General features: G+C 35.6%; 1 long non-coding RNA gene across 2 annotated transcripts in view; it reads right to left on the bottom strand.

The window, feature by feature from the left end:
• Positions 1 to 25,423, bottom strand: part of LOC105374548 (uncharacterized) — a 49,283-nt gene extending 23,860 nt beyond the window's left edge. For both annotated transcript variants that reach the window (XR_925517.2, XR_925518.2), the window contains exons 1-2: positions 25,279 to 25,423; positions 501 to 603 (exon numbers count right to left, since the gene is read on the bottom strand). This is a non-coding gene — a long non-coding RNA (uncharacterized LOC105374548). The remainder of the gene's footprint in view (positions 1 to 500; positions 604 to 25,278) is intronic.
• Between the last annotated feature and the right edge of the window lie 2,145 nt (positions 25,424 to 27,568).

The following is a 27,568-nucleotide window of genomic DNA, read 5'->3' as shown; positions in this document are numbered from 1 at the left end:
AGTGACCAAGGAAGTCCTTAATGATGGGAATGGAACTCAAAGGGATGACAAAAGAATGTGAAAAAGCAGACACATAAGGCCAACACAAAAATGAAGACAAAAGAGAAAACTAGAGAGACCAAAAATGAATTAGAGACTGGGCCTGGTATTATGTCTCCTACTAGGGAGTCTGAGCATACAAAATCTAGAGGATTAGGTGAAGAAAGGACAAGTCTGGAACTGAGAGAGGAGTAAGAAAGAGAATGAATAAAACACCACAAGCAATGCTCACCCCCCATGTGATGGGAAAGGAAAGCAGTCAGTGTAGGGAGTGGATAAGAATGTCCAAATCTCCACAAGGCCTCCAGAAAGGAGAAACAGGAGGGAATCAGAGCATCTATGGAATAGCTCACTACGATGGAAAAAGATGCTGCAGTGGTAAAAGATGGATTTTGCCATCAAAATAGAACACATTATTCCAATTCTGAAAAAACCCAATAGCAAAGCAGAAGAATGGTCACCTTTGGAATGAGCTCAAATGGCAAGGTTGCATTACTGAATGAACCTTTGAGGGGAGCTCTTTCAGAGGTCTCAGCTGAGGTCAGACATCTGCTGTTGTTGATCCTGTGGATAAAAGGGACATGTGGATAAGATCATGGCTGGGGTCCCAAGGGGAGGATTTAATAAGTTTTTTTTCACTAAGGGAGGCTCAACTTCTCTAAATGGGGGGAAGGAACCACTGCCGTTATTACTAGTGCAAATTTGTAAACTTTTCAAGAAGGTTCAAATGTCTCAAATGTCACTCAGAGAGATGGGAGTCAGGTTGTATAGGTAGGTGAATATTCCCAACTCCATCTGATAAGCACAATATCAGAATTGACAAAAACATCTAGGCGAATGGACTATAAGCTCCTAGGTCTTAAACTCTGGACAATTGGACTTGGCTGATTGAGATTCTGGTAAGGTGTCAGCCAACGAGAATTACTCTTCTGTTTTTTGCCTTTAATGATAACTTGGGTGTAATTGAACCAGGTACTGCATTATAAGAATAAACTTTACTTGTGGTAACTCTTGTAGAAGCTGTGGTTTCCTCTATTGAGAGTGTGGGGTCATATTGTGAAAACCTTATATGGCTTATTAATTCTTTTGAGTTTTCACAGCTTAGGGCACATGAGAGACCTAAGTAAAAGTATTTGAAATTGGGAGGTCCTGAATATACCATACGCCTTCCAGTAAAATGGTTAAAGTTATAATCTCTCAGGGAGGCCCAACTTCTCTAGATGTTTCACCAAGATCCATCTAATTGAGATTCAGCAGAGAAAAAAATTGAAGTGGAAAAAATTGAGAGACTCTAATTACTTTTGGGCTTAACATAAAGCTTTTTATTTAAGTTAAAACAGAATTGGGGTTTAAATTTCGGGCTTTGACTTCTTATGAATTTAATAATGGTAAACAGAATTCATAGTTTAAATTTATAACACTTTTAGATGTATTACTTGGAATTTTATGCTGTCATTAACATGTCTTGCCATGCTTCCTGTGTGGTATATTGGGTAACGTGAATGGCCATACCATACTTTGGAAAAAATGTGGAATCAAAAAATATTCACAAAAATGTGAATATCTTAGGAAGTTGCAGTTTACATTAGAAATTAGTTTTATTTATAAGCTCCTTGTTTCTTATCCTTCTGAAACCTAAGCTAAACTACATGCCAGAGGTTCTAGGAAGATAAAGTTGGTGCTGTGGGAGTGTTCTCATAAGGTAGGAATAGAGATATTTTCATAGACTCTTGGTTTCTCTAGAGAGCACGGCCACAACTTTAGTTGACAACACCATCATTTTGAAGCCCAGGTGTTTAAGGGAACAAAATCTGAGGGAGGGAGGAGGATTTTCTTTCCCCTGTCATCATGTGAGGCATGCTTCCTCTGGCTAGCTCACCAACCACATTAATTTGTTATTCTGAGCAGGGTGAAAAAGAGAGAAGGAAACTAAAAGTCTATAGCAATGCATGGGTAAATTTCTTCTCAGCCGACTCTATGGCGATAGGGCTGATTGCTTATCCAACCCACCTTCTCCAACCTCATGCTAGCTGCCAAAAGCTGAGATGGTAATGTCCATTTTTTTTCAGATAACTGATAAAGACACATTTGTCATTTCAAACTTCACAAGTAGCCTCCCTCACTTTAAAGCTAAGTAAACCATTACTCAGAATTAAGCAACTTTCTCAGAGACACACATTAAGTGTCAAGAAAGAATTCAAAACTAGATCTACTCCAGGCAGTCAGAGCAGCCCCTTGCTAGTTCAGCAGCATGAGCTGCCCCACCCTTTCTGCACGGAGACTGTGATACAACCAGGCCCTCTCTGCTCAATGCCCAGGGATAACTCCAGGCATTTGAAGCACCCACATGCCTGAACCAGCAGCCTGAGCTATCCCGTCCTTCTTGTGCAGAGATCATGGTTTAGCGAGGCCTTTTCCACTCCATTTTCATGTTCCAAGTAGGTCTTCAGTCAGTCAGAGCACCTGCTCACCTGAATCAGTAGCCTGAGCCTCCCTGACCCTTCTAGTGGAGATTGTGCTAACACAGGGTCCTCTCCACTCTCCACCCAGGCCAATCTCTAGGCATTTGAAGCACTTTTTTGCCTGGATGAGCAACCTAAGACGCCTCAGCCGCATGTGCAGAGATTGTGGTGCAGAAGGGCCCTCTACACTGCATGCCCAGGCAGATCTCAGGCAACTGGAGCACCTGCTCACCTGAATTAGGAGTTTAGGCTGCTCACTCCCTTCCCCATACAGAGATCTTGGGGATGAGGAGGTTTCTCAGCTCCACACCTAGGCGGCACACCTCTGGGTGCTTGGCGACCACCCACTGGATTGTTCCTCTTCTTCCTCAGTGCTGGTGCTTGTGTCTGTCATCAGGGAATCTGTAGGTGGACCTGCCCAATCCAGCCCTACCCATCTTTCCCCAATTCCCGAGGTCAGAGCAGTGAACTCAGAGCCTGTGCACTCCATGCATCAGCCCATTGCCTGAGGCAACAGAGAGCTTCTTCCAGTAAACAAGGACCAAGTATACACCCACCCAGTCATGCTGGCAGCAGACAGCGTTTACCTATAAGCGCCATCTACTGGCTTGTAGTTTAAACTGCACAACTCAATATGAAACCAGCTGACATGCGTGCTTATGGCTGTACAAGCAAAGCCAAAAGATCCTATCCAACATTCTATATACACATACACCCTAAGGCGATGGGAAAGGGAAAGGGAAGGAGCAAATGATGATACTATAGGACAAGAAAGAAAAAGAAAAAAAATCCTACCTGCATAAAAATAATTACAAAAATTAGAAGTGCCAACATTTCCAGTTGAGAAGCAACCAGAGCAAAAATTCTGCACCATGAAAAATCTGAATGTAGTGCCACCACCAAAGAATCACACTAGCTTTCCAGCAATGGTCCCTAACCAAAATATAAACTCAGAAATGAAAGATAAGGAATTCAATACGTGGATTGCAAGGAAACTCAATGAAATTCAAGGTTGAAAATTAACACAAACAAACTTCTAAAGCAATCCAGGACAATGAAGGAAGAGATAAACATCTTAAAAAGAAATCAATCAGATATTCTGAAATAGAAAAACTTACTTAAGGAATTTCAAAATACAAGTAAAAGCTTTATTAATAAAATGAACAAAACAGATAAAATAATTCGAGAGCTTGAATACCAGTCTTTCAAACTAACTCAATCAGACAAAACTTAAATAATTTTTTAAATGAACAAAGACTTTTGAGAAATATGGATTTTGTAAAGTGACCAAATGTACAAATTATTTGCATTCCTGAGACAGAAGGTGAACAAGTAAGAAAACTGGAAAACATGTTTGAGGGAATAGTTGAAGAAATTTCTTCTAATCTTGCTAATAGGTAGACATCCAGTTACACAAAATCCAGAGAACACCTGTAAGATGCTATACAGAGGAAACATCACCAATACATAGTCACCAGACTGTCCAGGTCAATGCTAAAGAAAAAAAACCTTAGAAGCAAGAGTAAAAGGTCAGATCACATACAACAGGAACCCTATCAGGCTAACAGCAGACTTTGCCGCAGAAACCTTGCTAGCCAGGAGAGATTGAGGACCTATTTTTAGCATTTCCAAAGAAAACAAATTCAAACCAAGAATTTCATATTCTGGCAAACTAAGCTATATAAGTGAAGGAGAAATATTTATTTTTTCAGAGAAGCAAGTGCTGAGGAAATTCGTTTTGCCACTAGCCCAGTGTTACAAGAAATATTTAAGGGAGTTCTAAACATGGAAATAAAAGAATGACACCTGGCACCACAAAAATGCACTTAAATACACAGCCCACAGACCCTATCAAGCAACCACACAATAGAAACTACGAAGCAGACTACTAACAACTTCATAATAGATCCAAAACGTCACATACCAATATTAACCTTGAATGTAAATGGTCTAAACACCTCACTCAAAAGGCACAGAATGGCAAGTTGGATATAAAAGCAGGATCCATCTGTCTGCTGTCTTCAAGAGATGCATCTCACACATAATGACACCCATAGGCTCAAAGTAAAGGGTGGAAGAAAGATCTATCATGCAAATGGAAAACAAAAAAAAAGATCAAGAGTGACTATTCTTATGTCAGATGAAACAGATTTTTAACCAGCAATAGTAAAAAAGGAAAAAGATGACATTATATAATGATAAAGGGTGCAATTCAGCAAGAAGACTTAACTATCCTAAATACATATGCATTCAACATTGGAGTACTCAGATACATAAAACAAGTTCTTCTCGACTTATGAAAAGACTTAGCCACATAATAAAAGTGGGGGATTTCAACAACCCACTGACAACGTTAGATGGATCACTGAGGCAGAAAAGTAACAAATAAATTCTGAACTTAAATTTGACACTCAACCAATTGGATCTAATGGGCATCTACAGAATACTCCACCCATCATCCAAAGAATATACATTATTCTCATCTGTACACAGAACATACTCCAAGATCAACCAAATGCTTAGCCATAAGGCAAGTATCAAGAAATTAAAAAAAAAAAAGTGAAATCACACCAAGCACACTCTCAGAACACAGTAAAATAAAAATAGCAATGAATATCAAGAAGATTTCTCAAAACCACACAATTACATGGAAGTTAAACATTTATTTCTCAAATGACTTTTGGATAAGCAATGAAATTAAAGCAAAAATCAAAAAAAGTTATTTAAAATAAATGAAAGCAAAGATACAACATACCAATACCTCCCAGAAGCAGCAAAAATAGAGTTAATAGGAAAGTTTATAGCACTCAAGAGCTAACTCAACAAGTTATATCTCAAATTAAGGATCTAACATCACACCTAGATAAATTTTCAAAACCAGAACAAGACAACCTTAAATGTAGCACAAGAAAAGAAATAATTGAAATCAGAGCAGAAGTGAACAAAATTAAAACCAAAAAATCCATATAAATTATCAATAAAATCAAAGGTTGATTTGTTGAAAGGACAAACAAGATCCATAGACCACTACTTTGATTAACAAATTAAAAAAAGACAGAAAATCCAAATAAGCACAATGAGAATTAACCAAAAAAATGACATTACAGCCAATCCCACAGAAATATAAAAGATCCCCAGAGACTATTGTGAACACCTCTATGCACACAAACTAGAAAATCCAGAGGAAATGAATGAGTTAGTGAAAACACACCATCTCCCAAGATTGAATCAGAAATTAAAATCCTGGACAGACCAATATTGAGTTCTGAAACTGAATCGGTAATAAAATCCTAACAACAAAAAAAGCCCTGGATCAGATGAATTACAGCATAATCCTGCAGACATACAAAGAAGAACCTGTAATAATTCTACAAAAACAATTCCAAAATATCGTGGAGGAGGGATTTCTCTCTAACTCATTGTATAAAGCCAGAATCACCCTGATACCAAACCCTAGCAAAGACAATGAAAACAAGAAAACTACAGGCCAATATCCCTGGTTAATATAGATGCAAAAATCCCCAACCAAATTCTAGCAAACCAAATCCCGAAGCACTACCGAAAGTTAATTCATCATGATCCAGCAGACTTTATTCCTAGGATGCAAGGTTGATTCAATATACTCAAATCAATAAATGTGATTCACTACATAAACAGATTAAACAAAAACCATACGATCATCTCAATAGATGCAGAAAAAGCTTTCAAAAAAATTCAACATCCCTTCATGATAAAAACCCTCAGCAAACTAGGCATCAAAGGAACATACCTCAAAATAATAAGAGCTATCTATGACAAACCCACAGCCAACTTTAGAGTGAACAGGTAAAAGCTGGAACCATTACCTTTGAGAACTGGAACAAGAGAAGGATGCCCACTCCCTCCACCCCTGTTCAACATAGTACTGGGAGTCCTAGCAAGAGCAATCAGGCGAGAGAAAGAAATAAAAATGTATCCAAATAGAAAAAGAAGAAATCAAACTGTATGTCTCTACTGAAGATATGATTCTATACCTAGGAAACCCTAAAGACGCTGCCAAAAGGCTCCTGGTACCAATAAACAACCTCAGTAAAGTTTCAGGATACAAAATCAATATACAAAAATCAGTAGCAATTCTATACACAAATAACATTCAAGGTGAGAAACAAATCAAGAACATAATCCCACTTATGATAGCCACAAAGAACTCCAAAACACTGCTGAAAAAAAATCATTGATGATGCAAACAAATGAAAAAACATTCCATCCCATGGATTGGAAGAATCAGTATTGTTAATAGGTCCACAGTACCCAAAGCAATCAACAGATTCAATGTTATTCTTATCAAACTACCAATGTCATTTTTCACAGAGTTAGAAAAAAACTATTCTAAAATTCATGTGGAGCAACAACAACATAAAAAACCCTGAATAGCCAAAGCAATTTTAAGAAAAAAGAACAAAGCAAGAGGCATCATATTACCTGACTTTAAACTATAAGGCTGTAGTAACCAAAACAGCATGGTACTGGTACAAAAACGAACATAGAGACCAATGGGACAGAATAGAGAACCCACAAATAAAGCCATATCCCTGCAGCCATCTGATCTTCAACAAAGTTGACAAAAATCAGCAATGAGAAAAGAATTCTCTGTTCAATAAATGGTACTGGGATAACTGGGTAGCCATATTCAGAAGAATTAAACTTTGCTCCTACCTTTCACCATATACAGCAACTAACTCAAGATCAATTAAAGGTTTAAATGTAAGAACACAAACTACAGGAATCCTGGAATAAAACCTGGGAAGCACCATTCTGAGCATCAGCTTTGGGAAATAATTTATGTGTAAGTCCTCAAAAGCAATTGCAACAGAAACAAAAATGGACAATTGTGACCTAATAAAATGAAAGAGCTTCTGCACAGCAAAAGGAATTATCAACAGAGTAAAAAGACAGCCTACAGAATGGGGGAAAATGTTCACAAATTATGCATCTGACAATGATTTGATATACAGAATCTGTAAGAAACTTAAATGGTTCACCAAGCAAAAAACAAATAACCCCATTAAAAAGTGAACAATGGACATGAACAGACACTTTTCAAAAAAGATATACAAGCGACCAACAAACATATGAAAAAAGTGTGCAGCATCACTAATCATCAAAGAAATGCCAATCAAAACCACAATGAGATACCATCTCACACCCATCAAAATAGCTATCATTAAAAGTTAAAAAACAACAGATGCTGGTGAGGATGCAGAGAAATGGGAATGCTCATACACTGTTGGTGGGAATGCAAATTAGCTCAGCCCCTGTGGGAAGCAGTTTGGAGATTTCTCAAGGAATTTAAAACAGACTACCCTTAGACCATCAATCCTGTTACTGGGTCTATATCCAAAAGAAAATAAATTGTTCTACCAAAAAGACATGCACTCATACGTTCATCCCAGCATTATTCACAATTGCAAAGGCGTGATATTAACCTAGGTGTCTATCAATGGTAGATTGGATGAAGAAAATGTGGTATATATGTGTATATACCATGGAATACTGTGCAGACATAGAAAATATGAAGTCATATTCTTTGCAGCAACATGGATGCAGCTTGAGGCCATTATCCTAACCAAAATAATGCAGAAACAGGAAACCAAATACCCCATGATATTACCTATAAGTGGAAGCTAAATGCTGGGTACTTATGGACATGAAGATGGCAATGATAGACACAGAGGACTACTAGAGGATGGGAGGAGGAAGGGTTAATTAATTATTGGTTAGTATGCTCATTACCTGGGCGATGGCATCACTCGTACCCCAAACCTCAGCATTACACAATATAGTCATGTAACAAATCTGCACATATACCTTCTGAATGCAAAATACAAGTTGAAATTATTTTTAAAAATTGGATCTAGATAGATCTCACATAAAAGCATCTACCGTTCTCACATTCAATCCCTCCGAACTGGTCCTTGTCTCCCTCTTTAACCACATGTCCTACAACTCACTCTCAGGTATTATTTTTCTTTTCTCTGTTACACTATGGTAATGAATGTTCAATAGATACTATGTACTTTTAGCTTCTCAAGCCTTTCCATACACTGCTTCTCCTGCGATTTAATTTAGATTACTTCTACCCATCCTTCAGCCACTTACCTCTCCAGCCTTGTTTTATTCTAGAAGTCCTCAGCAATCCTTCTAGATGCCCTCCCTCTCTCCTTGCTCCCAACATCTCTTAGGATAGCACTTTTCATAGTGGCAATAGTGAGTTTTTGATGGTATGTCAATCTTCTCTTAGCTGGGGTTTTTTGTTTGTTTGTTTTGTTGTGTTTGGGTTTGGTTTTTTTTTTTTTTAGCATTTTGGTATTTCTTACACTAGCAGAGTTCTGGGCATGTAGTGGCTGCTTAGAGTATGTCAAATAAAGTTCCTTCTTATTTTTCAATCCTTTTAATCTAATGAAATTCTCATTCGACTTTTCCAATCATCCAGTATTGAATAGCATTGAAGAGCTTAACATCACCTGCAGACATGCGAGAACACAGACACTTCCTCCATCTGATCTTGGATAATCAGATTAAACAATGAGTATCAACACTGATGCCTGAGGGATTGTTCTTTTCATGCCTCATCCATCCATTCACTTCCAAAGAGATGGAAGTATGAGATCTATGACAAAACATCCTTCCCTTTTCTGACAGTTGCTCTTTTATAAAAATCTCTTCTTTGAAGCCCTGTCCAAGGTTTTGAAATTCAAAGTATACATCCCTATCATGTTTATTGGCCATCTCTTTTTAAAAACAGCCAAATATGGTTTTCCCTGGTTACCTTTAATCACATAATCTATTTAACTGCTCAATATTAGTGTACTTTATTTGCAAACTGGCCAATTGGTTCACTATCTCCTGTGTCAATCAGGGAACACATGAGAGTATATAAACCATTTCAGAGAACTAAATTTTCATATTTCAGAGGAGGGAAGAGCCTGCTGTCTTTGAAGAGTTAATATGTGTCTCTGAGCATCTGCTTTATTGCTAGAGCTACTTGAGTACTGCGGAAAATCTAGTTTAGAGTTTGGGGATGTTGCGAGATAGATAATCTCTTCACACATTTGTAAAGTGCATGCCACAGCACGACATAAAATTTGTCAAATTGTGTTCATTTGTGAGAAGAGTCCTGGAGTTAGACCTCCTTCTCAAAATTTCTATTCTGTCATCTCTGAAATTTAAGAAAGGTTTCAAGACCAAGTACTGTCAGTTACATGTGATACCGTACCAGCCACCAGCGATAAATCACACTTGTAACTGCTTGAGGTGCATTTACTCACAGATGATATATGCTTTACAATTCATAGCAAGCTTTACAACTCATCTGATTTGAAGTAGGTCACAAAGAAATGTTAGCGTTTCAAAACTCAATCTTTTATGTGTTTTTTTTCTGTCAAAAAATCTTGTTATTTATAGCACTAAAGGAGACTTTTGGGATGATATCATGTAGTCCCTTCATTTTATGGATTAAGAGGCTGAGACCTGGGAAGGTTAATTGATTTTCCCAAAGTCTCAGAGCTAGTTAGTGGCAGAGCCAACACCAGAATCCATCGTTTTCCTGTCTCAAAGGCTTTCTTTCCACTATACCAGGCTGCCTCTGGTCTCTGACTATGCAAACCAGACTTTTGAAGTGCATTATTAAAGGATTATCTGTTCTACCCTAAGTGGCAGGGTCAACAATAAGATTATTAAATTTTTATCTTGCTCAGAGCTCTCTAAACTGGGAGATTCTCATCTGCCAGACTTAATCTGCCAAAAAAATATGCAGGGGGAAGTAGTGAGCACACGCAGTAGTCACAGAACTAGGCACTGAAAGCCTTTAGTTGGGCAATCCCTGGCCCAATTTCCAGTCTAATATTGTTGTGGTTAAAAAAGCATTTCTTCTTTCCGCTCATGCTTCCATGAAAGCCTGCACACAGCCTGGTCTGAACCTGCACAGATCGCTCCTGGAAGTGCCTACACTCTGACATCTGCATAAATGTCAAATGAATCTGCCGTATGATAATGAATACAAAATGAATTAATAATGATATGTGAATCATGAATACAATTTACAGTTCCTCAGACAAAATAGTGTCTTTTTCAGCATGTACCTGCATAAACTAGCTCCTGCAGGCCTCAGGCGAAACCTCCCGACTCTCTTCTGGTGCACCACCGCCATCTATTGACATCAGAGAAGGATGGCAGCCTTCCTCAGCGCTTGTATCCTGTGCTTGCACCGCTCCCTGTCAGCACCTGCCTCTTACTAACAAACAAAAATTTGTTTGAACTTATTTTAAAGTGTTTTGCTCTTCAAGGGTGAGCTCTCCTCCTTCTTTGAGCTACTTTTGTTACAAATAACTTAAAACTACCCCAGGTCAAAAATACTTGGCAGCTTGTTCTGTCACACCCCCTGATCTAAACACTGTATAATCTGATTTTTAACTCAAAGCAAGTCTTTGTTTAAAAACAATAATGAAACAACAACAACAACAAAACGATGCATTTTTTTCTCTCTTGCTATTTTTAAATAAACTTTCTTTATGGAAGTCCTCCAGGTTATCAAACACTCTCAGGCTTTCTACACTATCCCCCAAAATAAATTAAGCACAACTAAACTCTTCAGAAAGACATTAAACTCATAAGGGGTATTAGCTTTATTCCCTCCACTCTGTAGTAATATTTACTATTTCTTGTCCACTGCCTCCAATTTTCCCCCAGCATCCATTTTTTTCTTAAGTATGCCTAAATTCCTCCTCTTAGAGCTAGGGATCATGAGGAAGGATTTCCTGTTTTTTTGTTTTGTTTTGTTTTGCTTGTTTTCTTTTGGTTTTGTTTTTTTTTTTCAGATGTGGGTCTCACTACGTTGTCCAGGCTGGCCTTGAACTACTGGGCTCAAGTGATCCTCTTGCCTCAAACTCCCAGATAACTGGAACTACGGGCACACACCAATGTGCCTGGCTAGGATTTACTTTTTGAAAAGATTATCTTGACCTCTAAGAGAAGAAAAGAGCATAAAGGAAGTGTGGAATGAGGAAAGCCAGTTAGGAAGCTTTTGTGGAGATTCATATAAGAGATAACTGTGCCTTCCCCAAGTCCACTAATAACAGAGGTAGTAAGAAGTGGCAGGATTTGGGATAAATTTGGAAGGTAGAGTTAATATGCATTGCCCATGAATTGGGTATGAGGTAACAGAGAAAGAGAAGACTTAAAGACAACTTCTTGACTTTTGTCCTAAACAATTGATTTGGAGAGGAGATCAGGAGTTCTATGTTAGACATTTCGAATTTGAGATTTCTACTTGACATTCAGATAGAGGTGTCTGGTGGTAGGGGGTCTATTCAACATGTTAATTTCCTTTAGGAAAATTAACCTTTCCCAAAATGTGTAGTCCAGGGAGAACAATAAGTTAAGATACTTTATTATATCTTTATTGTTCATACGACTAGAGTTGTAGACAAATGTGTTATGCGTGAGGCAAAAGAAATTAAGTAAAAGAATAAAACATTCAGTTTCTTTTATGGGAAGTTTACATAAATTGTGTAAACTCTTTACCCAGTGCTAGAATTCACCTGAAAGAATGAGAAGCTCTTTTAGAAAGAAACCCCTCTGCTATCTCTGGATTGTTCTTTATGCTTTGTATGCTCTGATGTTGGCATAAAAAAATGGAAATAACAATGAAAGCAAACATGATGTTCTCTCTCGTTATCTGTGCATTGTGGGAGAATTTGATCACCAAACCTTTAAGGACTTCTGGCTCTGACCCTCTGATTCTGTGATGGTGCATAACTAGAACAGACCAAGTATTTATTTGTAACTAGTCCGCCCTGTCAAACTTAGTCCATTTATTTTCCAGATAACAGTTTTCATAATCATGTCATCTTTAAAAAGTATTTACTAAGATTTAGGAAGAAAGGATGCTGTTGCCAAGTAGCCAGACTCACAGAAAAAAAAATGAGTTAGGCAGAAAATGAAAATAAAAGTTCCAAAAGAAAATTTTCAAAATTGTCATTAAGAATATGATGTATGAGTCCAAGTTTAATTTTTTCTGATAAGATATATCCATATTTTAATTTTTAAACTTAATGCAGAGATTTAAAAAAGACAGGGGCGAACAAATATTGTTATCTCACTTCTGGCATCACACATTAACCGAATATGTCCATGGCAGTGCATTGAAAAAGCCCAATGCTGGCATATCAATTATGAATTTACTAAATGTATAGACAGAAGAAATAAATTGCCAAAGGTTTTGTGATGTAGATTATTTAAATAAAATCATTTAGAAACAAGAGTCAGTGCATACAGAAATAAACTTTCATAACAAGCAGGTTTAAGAGGCAACTCATTATGAGTAGAAAACATTCCTAATTTCATCATATTAGCCATTTACTGTTGGTTAAATCACAACTCTAGAAATTCCACTTAACCCTTCACTCTCTTTGCTACCATTCCCAGCTGTTTCATAAATTCACTTTTCCTTCTTGCTTTTAAACTCTCTTGTACTTTCCCATCAAACTTCCATTCCACAGATCACAGTGCAATTTTCACTTTTTCTTCTTTTCTCCTAGACAAAAGGAGGCTGCTCATCTGATCCTTTTCACTGAAACAGAGGAAAGAGAGTCTAGTAGCTTTAACAAAATCTTTTATTTTATAGGTCAAAGTCATTCTATTCATACACAGCTGACAAAATTTCAACCTGTGAACAAAATACTCCATGTGCTTCTGCATGATTTTTGCATTTTTAATTTCTATTAATATGGTGAAGGTTTATGCATAGGTATTTTAATGTCCATTCAAGGAAGGAGTGTTGGAGATAGGACCACTGGCAAAAAAAATTTCTTAGATAACATACCTTCATTTCTTTGTGATCTAACATCAGACATCAATTACAAATCCAACTTACAGATGTCTAAGATGCACTTAGGAATAAATAATATGTATTTCCAATTGACTTCATGTTCTATGTTGCATTTCATCTTAAGTTTGTCACTATCTCTATATATTAATGGCAAAATAAGTGGCAGAATATTTTAGCAAGTTTCTTCCGCAACTAAAAGCAAACATAATATGTTTATCAGGTCTATGAGAGAAACTACTGTTTATCTCCCAATTTGTATATGCCCTCTCTTCTTTTTTATACTATTAGAAAGTTTAGCTGATCATATGGCCACCTAACATAAAGACTACATTTCTTAGCATCACCGTACCAAAGTGTGGCTATATGACTAAATTCAGAGCAATAGGGTTTAAGGAAAGAGGCATGTGAACATTCCACAATGTGCCCTAAAGGGAAAGTAGCTCTGCTCCCTCACCTTATAAATCACAGTAAGCTATGTTGAGTTCTGCAGATAGATGCAGCTCCTTAGAAATGGCACAGCAAAATTATAGAAGGAATCTGTGCCTCTGATGATTCCCTGGAGCAGAACTGTCACGCTAGCTCAACTTTTATATATGAATATAAAACAAACTTCTACCTTGGTTAAGTGAAGTTTATTTTGGATCTCCGTTTCTGGTGGCAATTCTATATCCTAATGAATACAATGTCTGTTTCTTCAGGCAAAGGTATACCTCCCCCAAACTCTGCTTATAGGAGTGCTCTCCAAAGCAGGCTGTATTTTAAAGCACAATAGGTGGATCTTAACACTTGAATATGTGAAATAAAAGCCAGAAAGGCCATCCTAGGGTATCAAATAATGACTCTTTTTGTGATCCTATTATACACCATGGGTCACTCACTGTAAGAACAAATATGACAAAGCTAGGTAAAATCTAGCTTGTGTGGTGCTCCAGAAAAATAAATTTAATAGAGTTGATTTTAAAATATCTATAAGGAGTCATTAATTCACTAATAGTTTCATGTAAATGATTTTTGTTAACCATCCACCATGTGTAAGACCTATATTTGTCTGTATACTTACAGAGGGGCAAATACTCAATTGAATTAAGGTAGATCTGAGTGCTAAAATACCTTTAGAGTGTAGTAGTTCTAGAACTCTTGGCAACTTATATAATCTCTCTAGGTCCCAGTTTTCTCATATGCAAATGAAGATTACATTAGTGCCTAACACATAGCGTTATGACGATCCCACAAGATATCATGTATCAAGCCCTTAGCATATGTCTACACAGGGAAATCATTCAATATTTGTTTGCTAGTATACTTGTTCTTTGCATTGTTAATATTACTACTATTCTATAGTATACAAATAATAGATACATACATATATAAAGAATAATGAGATAGGTGTTAAAATACAATCAAATAAGGAATGAGATATGTTTTGATATTTAAAGGACTTCTCATGTGGGATATATCAGATAACTTTCTAATTAGTTAAAATATAAAATTATAAGATCTACCAAAAATTCCCATGGCAGTTGTCAATAAGTGGTTATATCCAGTTGTGGGTACTAGAAGATGTTTTATGAAGCCAGTAACGTTTTTACTAAATATTGAAAGATAAGAAAGCTTTTATAGGTGAGGATTGGAGCCAGGATAAATTGGTGTCCCATTGGATTGGACAGTATGAGCAAACGCACAATGCTCAGAGAATTATACTGGCTTTGCAATTGTGACGAGACATGAAAGCTCTTTCAAAAGCCATAGTTTCAAAAGGAAAGGGAGATTTTGAAGAAGACAAGATAAATGGACAAATAGTAGACATATTTTGTCTCTTCCATCAGAGTCAGAGCATCACATATAAACTGCAGGGCCAGAGCTAAATATAGCCTTCCTTGTGCCCATAGCCAGCTTAAAAATAAAACCAGCCATCAGTTTCCTAGGACATCATATGAAAAGTGACATACAAACATCACTGGAATAAATCTGAACTAAGGCATAGATAATGTATATTTCTACATCTGACTCACTACAGAATGTAATTTTTAGCTACATAAAATGGAAATTGGTTTCTTTCCCGGTAAAGTAGATTGTGTTTTTGATGTTAAATTAAAAACAAACAAGCAAACATTTTGTTAGCCAACACCAATCCCTGTGGAATAAAAATAAAAACTTTACTCTTCAACCACAGGTTGGCTCCTAATCTTGACTGAGATCAGCTATTTGAGCCTCCTGAAAATGGTTCAAGTCATCTGAAATTCAGAGAACAAATAATGTTGGCATAGTGCTATTTCCAAGGATATAGAATTAATTTCACTATCCACATTTCCTACCTTTAATATGTCTTCCAAGAACTTCTGTGGTTGGGAAAATTATAACAGAAAACTGAAACATGAAAAAGAACATAGGGATTTGGAAACAATTTAGTCAATATAGAAAATAGAAAAAATAACCCTCAAATAATTTCACTTGTACTCTGTGCATACAAATTAACTTCATCTTTATTATATATAATGACGCTAGATATCTAGGTATCAGCAGCAGAAAATGTTTGAGAAAAGTTCCTAAAAGTTCTAGTTATAACAGAGTATGTAACAAATTCCTTATTTTATGTTCAATCTATTTTATTTTATTTTTCCATAATCCCTCAACACTTTCCAAAATTTAAACAAATGTTTAAACAGTATTGGGAAGGGGTAGAGATTCTAGAATTATATGCAAGATGGAGCAAAATAAACATTTGCCTTGTCTCACTTCCAGGATCCATTAAAATGATAATAAACTAATACCACAAATAATAAAAAGCATAAAATGACCACAGCAAAGGGAACAAAAATTGTGAGATGATGCATGCCCAGAAGATTTTAAGAAATTGAAATTTATTAAAGACAGAAGGAGAGGGTGGAACAATGATCGCTAATACAGCCAGTTAATAAAAGTTAAAGGTCAGAAAGACCTAAAACAAAGAATGAAGCTCTTGAGCTTTGCAGAACCCTGGGCACTGGGAAGTTGTGAGGTTCTGAAAGGCCATGTACAATACAAATTGGTAGTAAATCCTGAGCTCAGAAACAGTGGGATTAATTGGAAGACAATGGATAAAGGCTGGCTTTCCCAACCCAATCTTGATATTCAGAATAACTCAGGAGCCATGCACCCAGGAAACACATACACGCCAAAAACAACAATTACCACACGAAAAGCAGTTGGGCAGTGGGGATGGACAGGAAAAATGGCACCGGAAAATTCAATGAATATGGAAACACAAAGCAAAGACCCAATAGCCAACTCCTGACACCCTTAAAAGTCAGTTGACAAACTGCTTCCACTTACACATACATGATGCTTTTGTATATTTAGGTTTTTATGTCTGTTATTGTTTGTTTTGGAGTTCTGAAATGACTTCTAGCAAACTCCATTTTATGTATGGAGGTGCAAAATTTATTCACTAGTTCTTTCGGCCAACCATTTATTCATCCAATACACATAATGAGATATTAGAAAAAAATGTGGAAAAAAAGAATTTAGAAGCAAGATTTACTGAAAATAGTTTAATGCATGTATTCTAAAACCATGGAATGTGAGTTATTTCCCACTGTGGCAGACCCAGTGAATGCAGCCATGAATAAGACATGGCTGTAACTTGCAAGAAGTTGATCCTCTAGAAAAATAGCCATACCTAGAAATTCTACATTAGGGGAATACCATGAGTTATGGGAAAGAAAGAGGGAGAAACTTGCACCTTAAATGGCAGAGCTGGGGTCAGGGAGGTCTAGGGACTAGGCTGATTGGGAAATCAAGCATTCCAGAGTGACTAGCATAGCGAATGAAATTTTAAAATTAAACAAACACAAATCTTAGAACAAATACACTTAGCCACTTGAGGCAGAAAGGAGAGATTGTATTATCACACTAGAACTTTTAATAACATGATACAGTAGCTCCAAATTAACATTTGTACTGTACCAGAAGAACACTTTCAACAAGAGAAGTGAATGCCTCTTCTCTATACATTTCTATGGCAACTCTGTGATTTCCTTTACATTTTTGTTTATATTCTATCAACTTTCTCATTTATCTGGATCACAATACTTTGAACAAAGAAGTCATCCAGTATATTTTTGTGGAATTACCAAATTAGTTAATAAATTAGCCAATACATTTAAAAATCACTGTATCAATTCATTTAATAATTTTAAGAGGTTCTTTACAAACAATATATATCAAAAGGTTTCTGATTCTTGCTGTTACATTTGCCTCCTTTGTTAAATCAATCACTATCTTCAAAATCATGACTTTAAAGTATTCTGGACATATACCATGCAAATGGGAATAAAAAGAGAGCAGAAGTAACTACACTTATATCAAATAAAATAGACTTAAAGTCAAGAATGGGTTAAAAAGAAGACAAAGAAGACCATTCTATAATAATAAAGGGGTCAACACAGTAAGAGGATATAATTGTATATATATATGCACCCATCACCAGAGCCTCTAAATATATAAAACAAATATTATTAGACCTAAAAGGAAAGAATTGACTACAATACAAGAATAGTAAGGGACTTTAACACTCCAGTTTCAGCAATGGGCAGATCCTCCAGACAGAAAATCAAAAAAGAAATATTGGAGTTCAGCCTAGACCAAATGGACCTAATAGACATTTGTGGACCATTCCATCCAACAACTGCAGAATACACATTTTTCTCAACAGTACATGAAACATCCTCCAGGATGGATCATAGGTTAGGTCACAAAACAAGTCTTATTACATTTTTAAAAATCAAAATAATGTCAAGTATCTTTTCTAACCACAGTGAAATAAAGCTAGAAATCAATCAAAACAAGAAAGTGTATACATTCATGGAAATTAAATAACATGCTTCTGACCAATGAATGAGTCAATGAAGAAATCGAGAAGAAAATGTAAAAATTTCTCAAGACAAATGAAAATAGAAACGCTATATTCCAAAACATATGGGATACAGCAAAAGTAGTTCTAAGAGGGAAGTTTATAGCAATAAAAGCCTACATAAAATGCTCTAAATCCATACATATAGAAGAAAGGTAAGATTAGAGTACTTATCTTTATATACAAAACTATGAAACAATAGTCATGTAAGTCATAATTCATTTTATTATTATCATAATACTTAATAAGACATTCTTTGCACCTGCCCTAGATTCTCCAGATATCAATTAGGGTGGGTTATTTAATGGAAAGTTTGGAACCATGGGATCCTGTCCTCAATGCCTGAATAATAGTCATACATAGTATTGTATAATATCAATTACAAATATACAAACTCTTACTTGTCACTGCAGAGGTGTCATCTTACCAAAACTTACTATTAGTGCACAGTATTTACAGGTTAGAAATTTTACAGTACTGCATTTTAAACTTTTTTGAGTTTTATTAATAAATAACTACCATTTATAGACTATTTACTATGCTATAGACACAAGACTATACAACTTGTGAATACTAGCTGAAAAATTCTTAAACTACCCTATAAGGTAAAAAAAAATTTAGTTCCATAATTTAGATAATAAACTTACGTTTATTTGTGTTAAATTACCTAGCCAAGGTCATAAGCATGAAAGTAATAGAAATGGGATTTGTGATGACAGTCAATGCCTGACACTTGAAACTTATTTCCTTAAGTTCATTATTTATTTTATGTACCTCAGGCATTATATATAGAATTGGCCAATTTTATTAGTACCATCTAATTATGAATATATGCTTAAAAGCAACATGCTTTGCATTGCACACAGAAAATCTATTTACTCAGCCAAATAGTTCATTAGTGTCATAGCTGACAGCTCACCTTTCTCCTCACAGCACCAAGATTGTCAATTAGATGGAATGCTTCCATTTACACCTGCATCCTGTTATTTGAATAATACTCATGCAAGTTTTACTTCTACCATTTCAATTTATAGGAACTAGTACCATGTCACTGATATGTGTAGGTGGTTCAGGTTTTTTTAAAGAGAAATATAATTAGGAAAATAGAATATAGTATTTATTTCTGAAGTCTAGAGTTGCCTAGGCTTCTATTTGGTTATTATGCATGATCTTTTATGTAGAATGAATATTCAGTGTCCCACCCACCCAGGTGTAGGTTGGAAAGCAAATGAAGAATTTTTACAACATGAATTTTGATATGCCACAAAATTTGGTTTCTTCCCCCTGGAATCAAGTGATAGAAAACGTTTGGATGACACTCTGTTTACACGTCAGGCTTACTCCTGTTGATCAACGGCATGATAATAAATGCTCGTTTGTTTTTTCACTTACATTACTACTTCCAAATATATTCATGCTAGTATCAACCTTAAATGTGAGACATGTCCATATTTATAATTTTATACTTTACAAATAATTCTGTTTTTTTCTAAATTATTCAATGCATTTATATTTTCTTCGATCTTTCTTTAGCATGACATGTTACAGTGTCTACATGATCTGAAGACTTCCAATGCACCAGGCACTAAAGCAAACTCTTCCGAGAGCAAGACACTTCACACTGCTGCCTGCTGGATAAAGATTACAAATGTGGCCAGGCGCGGTGGCTCTCGCCTGCAATCCCAGCACTCTGGGAGTCCGCGGCGGGCGGATCACAAGGTCAGGAGATCGAGACCATCCTGGCTAACACGGTGAAATCCCGTCTCTACTAACAATAAAAAAAAAAAAAAAAAAAAAAAAAAAGAAAAAAAGCCGGGCGTGGTGGCGGGCGCCTGTAGTCCCAGCTACTCAGGAGGCTGAGGCAGGAGAATGGCGTGAATCTGGGAGGCGGAGCTTGCAGTGAGCGGAGATCACGCCACTGCACTCCAGCCTGGGCTACAGAGTGACAATCCATCTCAAAAAAAAAAAAAAAAAAAAAAAGATTACAAATGTTTCCTTCCACGAATGTCTCTATGAAACTCTTCTTTCCCTTATTTCTCTATTAGAATTTCAGATACTCCCCAGAATGAATGGGACTATAGGTCTGAGTGAAGTCATATTTTCCATTCAGTAACAGTATCTTTCAGAAAGGTACATGAGAGCTTCATAACACATGCTCCCTAGAGAGGTGGTAAAAGTAGATCCATTTACATCCCTGTCTGTGACACTCTCAACACTCAGCCTGTTGGAATGAGCACTCGAATATTCCCTCTGTTGCGCTCTCCATCTCTTTCCCACACACAAACACACACTTATATTTCTTTCTCTCTCCTCCTCCTCCTCCTTTAGATAAAGGAGACAGAGATCCCTTTCCCCCTCTATTTTTTATTTTATATAAACACATTCACTCATCCACAGGATTTTCAGATTTAATCTTAAATTTTCAAACAGCTGAGGAAAATCAGGTTAAGCATAAATATCTCAGATTTGGAACTATTTTCAGAACCTGCCTAGAACACTTGCTTTTGAAAACACAACATGCACAAGTAAGAAAATTAACCAATAAGCTGGCTTACCAGTCACATGATTTGAGTCATCCAAGTCCCAGAAAACATCTATATTAGACAGACTGAACTTTTTGAGCATGGCAATGGCTTCTAAGCTACTGAACTTGGTAATGCGGCAAAATTTAATCTTTAATGCAAACTTAATTTTCCAAATTAATAAATACAACTGCCCATGACCGTTCCTACTCAAAGATTCAGTAGATATTTATGCAACAAAATTCAGGTGACTTTAAGGAAACTAGCTCCCCCCAAATATTTCTTCCTACTGACCCATGACATTTGTCTTGACATTTCTGCTTTTAGTTTTTGAGATAAACCACTATGCTCTCAAAAACTCCCTTCTATAATGAAATTGTATTTTATGATCAAGGACATGTGAGATATCTCCAATGTATTTATCTAATAGTATTGTGAAGACTTACCAGGACCCAAATGAGAAGAGACACAAGTTGGAAATACTTTAATTGGTAGGAGTTTGAAAGTTTCACAGCTCTATTTAGAGAGGGCTTTTTCAACATATACCAGGTAATATGATAATGCTTCCGTATTATAATGGGCAGCTAGATGCAACCAATAGATTCTGTGATTTTCTCACCAAAATGAGAAATGAGACACCAAAATGAGAAATTCTAATGATGGAGTTTATCTCATTTGCTGTTATTGGTCTCAAGTATGTTTAAACCCATAACTCACTGCATAATATCAGAATTGTGTAGGAAGTACCTGGACTATTTGCTGTTTTTTTTTTTTTTGCAATTTTTAAAAATGTCTAATTTCTAAGCAAATCATCAAGCCTGGTATGAGAGGTTTATGGAAAAACATTGCAGACCCTTGCTTGTGTAACTCAGAAATTCTCCATCTTGTTTCCTCAGTTGTGGGCACTGGGAGAGGAGCTAAATCTGCTTTTTCTCAATCCGTCCATCTGTAAAATTACTATTCTGATTATTAAACATTTCTAAAGTATTCACAATGTCCTGAGCACTGAAAATAACATGTATGAAGATGCTGTTTGTGCCCTTTAGGAGTATAATGAAGCTTACCACCTACTTCTATGGATGTCTTGGGGATTGAAATACTATTTTAAAGTGCCAAGAGCTACTCAGAAGAAATGTGCTGTAGAATTACAAATATTAATGTAGATGAATGGACATGTTCCATTAAACACTAGAACTGGTTGCCAAGGGAGTTTATGGAATCTTCCTCCCTGGAGAGAAAAAAAAATCCTGAGGAGCTAGATATACATCTGCCTAAGAGGTTTAGGTGAAGCTATGCCTAGCACAAATTGGGGCATTTATACTGGGAAAAAAAACAAATGAACTCTTAAGTTATCAGCATTAGTATCATTTAAAGAACAAGGCTGAAAAAAGAGATTAATGGACAAATTGAAAAACAGAGAGCACAGGCTCCAACTGAGCTCTAAATTAGGAGATGAAGAACTATTCAGCTTAAACAGGTAAGTTTTGATTTAACTAATAGCCAGATATCCTTCACCTTTTTTGTTTCTGAATCATGCTGAATATGTTTAAAATAAAAACTCACCAGGTTAAAAAGAAGATATGGAGCTAAGTTTTTCATTAATAAAGACTAAAGGGTGGTTAAACCAGACAAAGTTACTAATAATAGTAACCTGAGTATTCTAAAAATGAGCTATTCTAAATTAACATTTTAAAATAGTCAATTCCCGAAACTGTTTAATCACTTTCTTAATTTAATCTATTCTGATCAAAAAATTTCTATAAGCTATTGCAGCCTTCCCAACCTGAGCAAACCCAGTATAATAAATATAATGTATCCTATGCTAATAGTAAATCTCAGAAAATTGAGGTGTTTTAAATGAACTAAAAAACCTCCAATATTGCATCTTTATGCAAATTCAGAAACATATCCACTGAAAGATAGGATTGTTTGGAAACAACCCAATGCAAATATTCGACTATATTAAGAAAGTCCTTGATGTGAGCTTATTTGGAGTCATTTCTTTCTCACAAAATCTTAATAAAACATGAGCAACTGCACGACCTTCAGAGAAGGATAACAGGACTACCTGTTGGCAGAATTAATTATTGACTCAAAGGCTGTGAAATAGCCTTCAACTGAGTTATTTTCACAGTCTCTATAAACTATTCTTCTTCCCTGGCATTATCACTGTGGTGAATTGACAGGAGTGTTTAAAACATTATCTATTATTTCTGCATCACAAGTCCAGTGGACTAGGTCAATCGCCTTTTCAGTTTCAGCCCATTTCAATCCTCTCCTCCGCCTGACTTGTATGAACATGCATGCTGAGTTAGGAAGCATCCTTGGACTAGGAAGCAAGAAACCAAGATTCTAGAATGTTGTTCTGTAGCCTTGAAAGTAACTTTATTTCTCTAGGCCTCAATTTCTTCATATATAAAATAACAGACTGAATAAAATGATTATTTAGGACCATTTTATTGTAAAAATTTATTATTCTATGGTATCCAGTATTTTCATACAACACTAAAGAAAAACAAATTCCTTCATTATGAGCATGTTAGTTCATGAAGCTCCCATAGCACTATGCAGGCACTCCTGTTGAAGCCTTCGTCATATTTCAAGATACCTAAATATACAAGTCAGAGGTGAATTGTATTGAATCTAGACCATAGACATATTTTGTTTGGCTTCCACATTAAAAATATAATAACCTAGTTTATAATTCTTAAGAAAAATTGAATAGTTTACATAAAACCAAACTTTAAACTTTCATTGACAAAGCAAAACATCTAAGCATATTGAGTCCAGAGATCTCACAGCAGCAATTTTTTAGAACTTCTTAATTTTTAAGCCATCTTTAATTTAGAACTTCTTCATTTCTTAACCACTTTAGTCATGACACATGCTCTGTAATTTTTTATCCAACCCAATGCACTCAATTTTATCTTCTGCCTGGCCCTATACATGTTTGAATTTGTGAATAAAAGTTAATACGTTTCTGTCCTCAACTAAATAGGCTTCCCCAAGGAAAATAACGTTCCTTGCTACTCTGTGGTAGGGGTAGTTAGCTGCCCAACAAATATGCATTCTATGCTACTTTAAAAAGAAAACCCCAATTTAATTCATCACACAATCTGTCCTGATAAAATAGCTCTCTAGGCTACCTGGTGTCTTGGGAGTTCAAGCCAATGAGAAACAAGAGAAAGTCAACAGATCGGTTCTTTCAGGAAAGCTATTGCTTTACCTTACACACACACACACACACACACACACACACAAAGACACACACTCTCAATGGCCCACGCATTAGTCATTCATACTTATAGTCCCCTCATCTTCTTACCTGGAACTCTGATGCAAAGCCTATTGGGATGGTAGCCATTTTTCAATCACAGGGACAAAGGCCATACACTAAGATGGCAGCAGACAATAAAGAAGGATCACTGGTTTCTGAATACATTCTTGAGCACAGATCCAGCCCTTAACTGTGATTATGTTGATGAGAAAAATAAAGCCCCGTACAGTTGAGGTATCATAAGCAAGTTTTCTGCTTATTAATACCAGTGACATCTCTAACAACTATACCTTCATTGAATCCCAAGTACCTGGTTCACAAAAGGTCGCTGGTTATTGACACTTTTCTAAAGGATATAATATCAATAAGAATAACTTACAATGGATGGGTGCTTATTGCTGGGTACTGTGCTACAAGTTCTACATCATTTAATTCTCACATGAGCCTATCAGACAGGTAATAGTTTCCCCAATACACAGATGAGGCATGGAGAGGCTGCATTTTGCATCAAGTCAAACCATTCTTTAAAAGGAATAAAGAATATTTTAATCTAAGTTTGAAACAAAGCCAAAGTTATCATGTAAAAGCATGAATGTCCCATTCAATTGCATGGACCCATGAAAATAAGTCGTGATTCCAACAAAACTCAACACACATGTATAAGTCCAAGTATCAGCTGGGCCTTCAGAATGCCCCAGCATCCAATACTTACTTATCCTTCAGTAGTTTGCTCTTTCATTCTTAGAGAGGAAAAATAGACATTTTGTACTCTTTTCTCAAACAAGCAACATCACCCTCCACTGTTCCTGACTTTCCATTAAGCAAACACAAGGCTGCTTCCATGTATTCTAACATACTCTGCCTTCTAACTTTTGAATTGATGAATTGTCCCTATTATTAGCTAAGGTCAAAGCCTCAAATAGTGCTCAACATTTTTTTCTTAACTTGCAATCTAAAGACTTCCCTCTTATCGTTGTATGATTTCTCTCCTCTATTACCAATTTTCTCCTCCTGTCAGAATACAGACAAGCTTCATTCTTTTTTTATTAAAAAGTAAGGTCCTTGATCCCTCCCATCTCTTTCCAGTCACTGACCCAAAGTTGCTGACTACACTTGCATTCCCTACCTCCCACCCTTGCATTCTGTCTTCAACCCTTTTTATTTACACTATTTTATCTATAAGTCTCTAGTTTCCCCTTTAATGATTTCATCTTACTTACATTCTTCTTCAGATTCATATTTAAATACATGCCTTCCGCTCCTGCTACTTTGGATTCTATTTCTGTATGGATCAATGTTCACATTACAGGAATTCACACTATAACAGACTAACTTGCCACGTACTAAAATTACAGTACAATTCTCCTCAAGTGGATACAAGCTATTGTTTCATTTTCCTTTCACAGTAACACTACTTACAGTGATATGATATCTTTAGAGGGCCTAGAAGGCGGAACTCAGCTTGCCCTTACACTAATTGCCCTCTTCAGCTGTAGTATTTTTATGTACATGCAGACTTACCTGAAATGTTAATGTGGAACTTTAGATATCCCTCAGGGGCTATCTCTGCTTTCTACTCTTATTGTATTTTAGCATTTTTACTTTGTTCTGCCCAATTTCTATTTTTTCTTTGCAACCTTAGTTCAACCCTTCTGAATACTTCTGTTGTCTCCTGAGGTTTACTACCTTGTCTGTCTTGAATGTTGACTTCTGTTGCTGTCATTCAGGATTGATTTTACAGTAATTAAAAATAAAATGCTGTGTTCTTTTTTTCTGATTAATGAACAAACTGATCAGATTCTCTTTGGTTTTGGTTGTTTTAAGAGGTTTCTCTCCTTAAATCTGGATTATTTAAGAAAAGGCAAATATTCAAATATAGAAAAATTAGAAGATTTCTATAGAAACTATCTCAGGTTCCTCGTGTGAACAACCAACAATAACACAGAAAATGATGGAGTTACTATTTTTTTTCAAGTTACTACATAACTTGTACATACTTGTACTATTCTAGATACATAGGAAATAAGTTAATCCATTATATATGATGAATATTCACACATTAGCATCAATTTGATTTTCTTATGGTAAATGTCAATTTAAAACATTTATTTATTTTTATATTAGTACAGTCCCCCCTTCTTATCCATTAGTTCTACGTTCACAGATTCAATCAACCACAGATCGAAAATATTAAAAAATAAAATATAACAATATAACAATAAAAAGTAATATATTAAAAAATACAGTACAACTACTATGTAAATAACAGTATGCTATTATCATAGCATTTAATTGTATTAGGTATTATAAGTAATCTAGAGTTTATTTAAAGTATACAGGAGGATGTGCTTTGGTTATACATAAATACTATACTACGTTACATAAGATACTTGAGCTTTCATGGATTATAGTACGCATGGGAGTCCTGAAGCCAGTCCCTCAATGGATACCAAGAAAGGACTATACATCTTTGTCATCATAGGGTAAGAATAAAGTTCAGAAAAGCAACAAAACCACTCATATCTTTGTCCACATATATCTTTTATAATTATTTTGATCAGTTTACTCAATTCACAAAAGAATATCTTTATTTTTTAAAGATTGTATATTTACTTACACTATTGAGTTGAAAAATTTTTTCTAATAAATTTTTAATAAAATTATTACCATTAATACAAATTGATTAAATAAATTAATCAAAACTTCAGAAGATATAATCAATATTTTAATTCCATATTTTTTCTGAAGACAACAGAAAACACTCAATAAAAATGTACTGAGTACCTCCATATGAACGCTGTGGGGCTAAAAAGATGAGATTAAGGGGCATAAAAATTAATGGAGAACGGTGTACTCAAAGAGCCTGTATTCAGGTCATCAATTCTCATCTTATTTAGAAATGTAAAATATTAACAGCTGGCTTATAAATGTGAACTACGAGAAGAATTTGAACTCAAAATGTTTTTCTCCTTTTTCCTTCCCTGGTTTAAGTACTGAGAAACTAAACTTCTAAACACATAACAGCAACAATAGTAACAATAATGATAATAGAAATGAATATTTACTAATATTTTATTATTTGTAGGTATCATGAACATATTGATTTAAATAAATCTCACCCTGAGAGAAAGTATTGCGACATATGCCTTTAACATAACTTATTACATGTTATTGTAAAGAATTCAAAAGAAAAAAGAGAAAAAAATTACAGCAAAATAGATTATATGAAAGGTCAACATTTTAATCAGAGTATAAATTGTACAGTAGTGCTGTCCAATACAAATATAATGTTAGATACCGACACAGAACACATATGTAATCTTACATTTTCAGATAGTCACATTAACAGAGGCAAAAGAGAATAGGTAAAATTAATTATATATCTTATTTACTCCAAGTAACCCAGATGTTATTTCACTTTGTAACTGATATAAAACTGACTCAGTTTACTTTTTTTACTAAGTCTTCAAAATCCACTGTCTATTTTATATATACAACACATTTCAATTC

This window comes from Homo sapiens, chromosome 4 (assembly GCF_000001405.40).
Source record: "Homo sapiens chromosome 4, GRCh38.p14 Primary Assembly".
NCBI lineage: Eukaryota > Metazoa > Chordata > Mammalia > Primates > Hominidae > Homo > Homo sapiens.
Note: the sequence above shows the minus strand (reverse complement) of the source record. Positions and strands in the feature narration are given on the sequence as shown.